This window comes from Homo sapiens, chromosome 22 (assembly GCF_000001405.40).
Source record: "Homo sapiens chromosome 22, GRCh38.p14 Primary Assembly".
NCBI lineage: Eukaryota > Metazoa > Chordata > Mammalia > Primates > Hominidae > Homo > Homo sapiens.
The window spans coordinates 50,051,732-50,059,157 of NC_000022.11; the positions used below are offsets into that span (position 1 = coordinate 50,051,732).

General features: G+C 54.6%; 1 protein-coding gene across 4 annotated transcripts in view; it reads right to left on the reverse strand.

Annotated features, from left to right (window-relative positions):
- The window catches only part of TTLL8 (tubulin tyrosine ligase like 8), a 39,724-nt gene extending 33,157 nt beyond the window's left edge, over nt 1–6,567 (reverse strand). For 3 of the 4 annotated variants that reach the window (XM_024452173.1, XM_024452172.1, XM_047441179.1), the window contains exons 1-3: nt 6,423–6,496; nt 5,138–5,242; nt 3,503–3,594 (exon numbers count right to left, since the gene is read on the reverse strand). In XM_024452173.1, coding sequence (XP_024307941.1) covers nt 3,503–3,594; nt 5,138–5,204 — 159 coding nt within the window. In that variant the 5' untranslated portion in view covers nt 5,205–5,242; nt 6,423–6,496. Of the gene's footprint in view, nt 1–3,502; nt 3,595–5,137; nt 5,243–6,422 lie in introns of all 4 variants that reach the window. The other variant, NM_001350317.3, reaches the window with a different exon arrangement.

Here is a 7,426-nt window from a genome sequence, read left to right on the forward strand (position 1 = left end):
GCAGGAGGAAGGTGGTATCACATTGTGGTTTTAATTCGCATTTCCCTGAGAATTAGTGATGCTGAGCGCTTTTTCACGTTTGTTGGCTGTTTGTATAGTATTTTAAGTCAAGGAATTGAAAAATAAGTTGATTATTTTTCTGTAAGAGGAGTTTTCAAAGCAGAAGGAGACAAACTGTGCTCTGGCAGGAAGACATCTGCTCAAAGAAGACCATGCCCACACCCAGGCACACAGCGGACGAAGCGGCACAATTACAGCTGTAGCTGGGAACCCTGAGTCTGAGTCCCAGCACCCATACGAGACATCCGGTCGGTCCCAGCACCTCTCTGGGAACCCCGAGTCTGAGTCCCAGCACCCACACGAGACATCTGGTTGGTCCCAGCACCGCTCTGGGCCGCTGTCTACTCCGATAATCAGTCTGAGGCCTGTCACCCGCCCACGTGGCTGTGCACGTGAATGAGCCTATCACCCGAGGCTTTGGGGAGAACGGTGGGGGAGCTGGACAGTCCGCAAGAGGGCTGGCACCCTCCGACTCCACAAGACACTCTGCCACCCCCAACACCCTGCTTAGCTGTGGTCAAACTGAGTAACTTTAGAAAAATGGATGGGCAGAATACAATTCCTAAGGAAACCACCAAAGGAATAAAAACAGCGTAAGATTTCCAACAGGTAAGAGAGGGGAAAGGGGGATTTAAAAAGTAACCAGTCCGGGAGAGCACATGAAAGGAGAGGAAAGGAAAATTGAACCAAAGGAACGTACTAAATGAATGAAGATAACAGACACACCTGAATACATCAACGGTTTAATTATAGATAAATACACTAAATGCTCCAGACAAAAGGCAAAGAGACCATCAAACACATAGGTATACAGATGATGGGGTAGAAAAGGAAAAGATAGAAATATGAGACAAAATAGTCTTTGGGACAAATAAACATTACTAAGGTAAAGAAAACCATTTCATAATTTTAAAAAGATTCAATTCACTAGAAAGATACATGTGTATGCACCTATTAAGAAGGCATTAGTTATAAAAAACAAAACTAGAACTACAAAGTAGACAAACCCAAGATTATAATAGGGTATTTTAACCTGCTTCTCTCAGTAATTGATAGAATGCACAGACCAATAAGTTCCATAAGACTTTAGAGGATTTGAACAACTCAAATAACAAACTCTACTCTAGTGGCTATAAACAGCTCACTCTGGCGGAGCACGGTGGGTCAAGTCAGTAATCCCAGCACTGTGGGAGGCCGAGGTGGGTGGATCACCTGAGGTCAGGAGTTCAAGACCAGCCTGGCCAACATGGTGAAACCCCGTCTCTACTAAAAATACAAAAATTAGCCGAGCATGGTGGTGCACACCTGTAGTCCCAGCTACTCAGGAGGCTGAGGCAGGAGAATCGCTTGAACCTGGAAGGCAAAGGTTGCAGTGAGCCAAGACTGTGCCACTGCACTCTAGCATGGGTGACAGAGCGAGACTCCATCTCAAAAAAAAAAAAAAAAAGCACACTCTACACCAACTGTTACATAAATTAACAAAATGTTAGGCGTAAAGCAAGTCTAAACAAATTTCAATGGAATAACATTGCACATAGCACATTCTCGACCACAATGCAATCAAGCTAGAAAACAAGAACAATATAACTACAAAAAAGTAACAAGTGTAGACTGTAAGAACAATACTTTTAAGTAACATGAACTGTAAAATACTTTGAACTGAACATAGACAAACGTACTCCAAAATAAAAGCTTGTGAAATGCAGCTAATGCGGTACCCAGAGGGATAGTTGTAGCCTTAAATGTTTATACATTTATAAACTTTAAAACATTTATGTTTATAAATGTTTATACATTTAAAGGTTTCAGAAGAAAATCTGAAAATTAATGAGCGGATATGGTTCTACTTATATGAAGTTCCAGAAAAGCCCAAAGGACAGTGAGAGAAAGCACAAATAGCGCATCCATGGTTGCCAGGATTTGGGACAGGGGTGGGGAATAACCGATAGGGGCCAAGGGGAACTCCTGAGGGTGATGAAATGGTCTTTATGAAGATTGCTGCCTGACTGCACATGTTTGTACCTGAGGGTGATGGAACGGTCTTTATGGAGACTGTCTGACTGCCCATATTTGTACACGTTCTGCTCTCCGTCCGGGTGTGTCCGGCCGTAACATCACCGTGCCGTGCACCTGCAGTCTGCACATATTTGTACACGTTCTGCTCTCCGTCCGGGTGTGTCCGGCCTTAACATCACCATGCCGTGCACCTGCAGTCTGCACATATTTGTACACGTTCTGCTCTCCGTCCGGGTGTGTCTGGCCATAACCTCACCATGCCGTGCACCTGCAGTCTGTGCACTTTCAGTGTGTGCTGTACCTCAGAGGGGAGTTAAGGGAATGCAGATGTTTTCTCACACTATTGCCAGCTGGATGACTTGGGGTTCCTCTGTGGTCAGGCCTTCTGAGCAGTGGAAATCGACACACCATCAAGACAAAGAAAGCCGCCTTTCCCCAGGTCACTTGCTCTTCTCATTCCAAGCATGGCAGACCTGGAGCCCTCAGCTCCCATTTACAGAACACGAGAGCCTTCCTTGTCTCCCCAGACACATATGGGGAGCAGAGGTCTCCTCCCTCCCCAAGGGAGGCCTTGCTTACATCCCAGTTAAAAGGTAAGGCCTCCCTCTCCTGGGCTCCCTCTCCTGGGGAGGGAGAGTGCCAACTGCCCCATATAAGCTCCCAGGGCCATAATGTTGGGGTTCCTCTCCTGAGGTGCAAACCCCTCTGCACACACAGGTGGAGGCACAGTGAGCGTCCCTAAGGGGAGCTGGGGTGTGGGGAACCTACGCAGGCATTCTCTGAGTACCTGGAAGTCTGTTTCCCATCCAGGAGCCTCATGCTTCCTGTGGGGATAAGCAGATAAACAGATAAAGCCGGGACAAGCACCCACCCTAGGACACACAGCGGGCGGCGCTGGCCACCCCTTGGTGGGAGGCAGAGAAGCATTGCTTCTTTCTAAAGTACGGCTAAAATAAAAGGTATCTCCAGGCTAGGCGCAGTCACTCATGCCTGTAATCCCAGTATTTTGGGAGGCCAAGGCGGGCAGATCACCTGAGGTCAGGAGTTCGAGACCAGCCTGGCCAACATAGTGAAACCTCCATCTCTACTAAAAAATACAAAAATTAGCTGGGCATGGTGGCGTGCACCTGTAGTCCCAGCTACTCGGGAGGCTGAGGCACAAGAATTGCTTGAACCCGGGAGGCAGAGGTTGTGGTAAGCTGAGATCGTGCCACTGCACTCCAGCCTGGGCAACAAAGCAAGACTTCATCTCAAAAATAAGTTAAGTAAATAAATGAAAGGTAACATGAGCCAAGTCCCCACAGGGAGGAGGCTGCAGCTCGGGGGCACAGTGCGTCAGAGGCCAGATGGACAGATTCCAAGTTCCAAAACAAATGTCCTTTTAAAAAAGTGTCCCCCTCCCCACCGAGTCCCAAGGAGCATTTACCTTGATTGCTTTTTCTGTTAACTGCCTTGCTATTTTGTATCTGTCTAATCTGGAGGAAGAAGCCAAGTCTTGGGAAATTCCTTGTTTTAATTCTGCAAAAGAGAAGGAGGACATCAAGTCAAAGGACAAGGCATCCAAGGCCAGGCACGGTGGCTCATGCCTGTAATCCCAGCACTGTGGGAGGCCGAGGTGGTTGGATCACCTGAGGCCAGGAGTTCGAGACCAGCCTGGCCAACATGGTGAAACCCTGTCTCTACTAAAAATACTAAAATTAGCCGGGTGATGGTAGCTCATGCCTGTAATCCCAGCTACTCGGAAGGCTGAGGCAGGCGAATCGCTTGAATCCAGGAGGCGGAGGTTGTGGTGAGCCGAGATCGCGCCATTGCACTCCAGCATGGGCAACAAGAGCGAAACTCTGTCTCAAAAAAAAAAAAAAAAAAGACATTCGTCTGATGAGGCTGACATGAAATGGCATATTCTGAGGGGTGCTATCCATGAGCCAGCAAAATTCATCCACAGTGATGGAGACCAGAGCTGTGGGAGAGGGGGTGTGGCCGGAGATTGGTCCAAGGAATGGTGGTAGACGTGTCAGCGGTGTGTGAACCAGAGCGACTCCATCTTGAATAGGGGCTGGTTAAAATGAGGCTGAGACCTACAGGGCTGCATTCCCAGATGGTGAAGGCATTCTAAGTCACAGGATGAGATAGGAGGTCGGCACAAGACACAGGTCATAAAGACCGTGTTGATAAAACAGGTTGCTGTAAAGCTGGCCACGACCCACCAAAACCAAGATGATGATGAGAGTGACCTCCGGTCGTCCTCACTGCTACACTCCCACCAGCGCCGTCTCAAAGAACATAAATAAAATAAAATTAAATTAAGAAGTTCTGATTATCAAAAGGAAGCATGAAGTGACTGACAAGGCCACATCCATCTGACAAAGAGCATGTATCCAGGACATACAGAGAATTCCTGCAAGTCCATGAGGCCATAGCGCGATTTAACCGCGGCCTGCAGTCCCGGAACCGCACTCCGAGAAGGAAGAGCTCCAAATGGCCAATAATCATGTGAAAAACAGTTCAACACCTTGAGCTGTCTGGAAATGCAAATTAAAACCACACACCCGAGTGCCTGAAATGGCAGCGAGGACACCCACTGCGGGTGGGGACGGGGGCGGGGGCACCGGAGCTCTCGATCTGGCCCTTAAACGGTTGGGGGACCTTCTAAAGCTAAGTATGCGCCTGCCATGTAACCCAGTCATTTGACTCCTAGGGAGCATTTACCCACGCAACGAAGACGAGTCTGAAGAGGGCAAGGGCAGGAAGGAAGAGAGAGGCGAGTGCAGGGCCTCCACGACCCGCCAGGAGAGCCCTCCACACCCACACGTTTAATTTCCCAGTTTCCCAGGAAGCTGGCCAGTGGGATCGGGGTACAGGAGGCAGGAGCCAGCGCCCCCCAACACCCCTGGGGTCCTCCGCCTGGACCGTCCAAGAGAAGGCGCCTGGTTCTGCAGCTCAGTGAAGTGCCTGCCCCCAGAGTCCCTGATTTCCTGGCAGCAGGCTGCAGCCAGCACTGCCTCTGAGCCCGGGCCACTCTGGGCGAGTGGCTGGCACACAGGCAATACACGATACCCACTATTTTCTTCTCTCCCGTCTCCATCTGAAGAAGAAGCCAACGATAGCCCCTTCCTCTCTGGTTCCATACTGGCCTCCGACAGCTTGCCCTTTGCTCCTCTGACCCCTAGAGGAGAGGGTGTGGTGGTTACAGGAAACTGGGAGGGTGTGGGGGGCTCTGGGGATGGAGAGGGTTCTGAGGCCCAAGCTGAGGGTCAGGTCTGGGGTTGGGGATCAGCTCTGGGGTTGGGATCAGGTCTGGGTTGGGGGATGAGGTCTGGAGTTGGGAGGTCAGGTCTGAGTTGGGGTCAGGTCTGGGGATGGGAGTCAGGTCTGGGGTTGGGGGTCAGGTCTGGATTAGGGGTCAGCTCTGGGGTTGGGGATCAGGTCTGGGTTGAGGGATCAGTTCTAGGTTGGGGTCAGGTCTGGGCTTGGGGGTCAGGTCTGGGTTTGGGGGTCAGGACTGGGTTTGGTGTCAGGTCTGGGTTGTGAGTCAGGTCTGGGTTGTGAGTCAGGTCTGGGTTGGGGGATCAGGTCTGGGTTGGGGTCAGGTCTGGGTTGGGCGGGAGGTCTGGGTTGGGGGTCAGGTCTGGGTTGGGGGTCAGGTCTGGGTTGGGGGATCAGGTCTGGATTGTGGGTCAGGTCTGGGTTGGGGTCAGGTCTGGGTTGGGGGGTCAGGTCTGGGTTGAGCGGGAGGTCTGGGTTGGGGGTCAGGTCTGGGTTGGGGTCAGGTCTGGGTTGAGGGTCAGGTTTGGGTTGAGCGGGAGGTCTGGGTTGGGGGTCAGGTCTGGGTTGGGGTCAGGTCTGGGTTGGGAGATCAGGTCTGGGTTTTTGGGGTCAGGTCTGGGTCGGGGTCAGGTCTGGGTTGGGGGTCAGGTCTGGGTTGTGGGCATCAGGTCTCAATTGGGGATCAGGTCTAGGTCGAGGGGGAGGTCTGGGTTGGGGGTGCAGGTCTAGGTTAATGAGGAGAGGTATGGGGTTCTGAAGGCAGAGGGGAGTGGACAGCTGTGGAGTTCCCAGAAGATGGGGGAAGGTGGGGAGAACAGCTCTGGGCTTTCGAGGGCGGGCGAGTGGGTAGAGTTGGGCAGGTTTAGTGGGGGAGTTCTGTGGTTCCGAGCTAGGCGGGTCTGGGATTCCTAGGGTAAGGGGTCTAGAATTTGGAGGCCCGGGGCGGGGAGGGGGTAGGCCTGGGTTTCCGGGTGTGGGAGGCGGGTCTGGGGTTCCGAAGGCAGATGGGGAGGAGGGGTCCTGTCCGGGATCGGAAGCGCGGACGGGCCTGGGGTTCCGCGGTCGGGGGTCGTGCTCACCGGGGACCGGGTCAGTGGCTCGCGCTGCGCCGCCCGGCTTCCTGGGGTTGCCTGGGACAACGTGCTGGGGCGGCCACGCGCATTGTGCACCCCCGGTGCGGCGGCTGCTGGGCCCGTGGCCTCGGGCTGTGCAGCGGCGGCGGCCCCGGGGCGTGGGGCTGCGCGGGCGGCGGGGGGCGCGGGGGCGCGGGGAGCTGCGGCGTGCGGGGGGCGCGGGCCCCGACGGGCAGCAGTCATCAGCGCTTGGGCTGGGCCCGGGTTGGGGTCCGGGTCCCGGGCTGCTGTCGGAGCAGGCGCGGCTGCGGGGTCGGCGGCGCGGGACGGTGCGCGCCATGGTGTCCGCCGGGGGAGGGCCCGAGTGTAGCCCCGGGTCACGCGCTGCGGCCCCGCGCCCCCCTGTGGAGGTCACACTCCATCCCCCACCAGGTCACAAAGACCCGCGGGTCACATCCTGCCCCTCCCCCTCGGGCCCCCCAGGCCCGCCAGGCCTTCTCGCCCTCCCCGGGGCCCTCATGCCGCCCTCTGTCCCTGGGCCCTTCCCCGACGCGAGGCTGGAGCGGCGGGGTGAGGAGGCCGCGGGCGCTGGGCTCCTCCCGGGCTGCGCGCTGCGGGTCCTGGCGGATGGGGGCGACGGGGTGACCGTATCAGCGCCCCCCGTCCTGCGGCGGAACTTGGGAGGGCCTTGGTATCCGCAGAACCACTCGTGGGGTCCCACGCCGCTGCCCCCCGGGGGGTTCTGAGCCCACCCAGGTCCACACGGCCCCTGTCGTTTCCCCCCGCACCCCGCGGATCACCCCGCCAGGGCAGCTCGTGTCTGATCTGGCATCTCGGAGTGGGGGTAGGAAAGACACACCTGCCCCACCAGGACCCTCACTCCTGGCAACTTTCCAAAGCCTAGATGTCTTCATTTGGTTTTAAATCAACTTTATTTTGCATTTAACTTCCCAAGACACCCCAAAAGGGAGGTTCTGCCCCGACTCTGAAGGGGCTGGTGGGGGACTTGA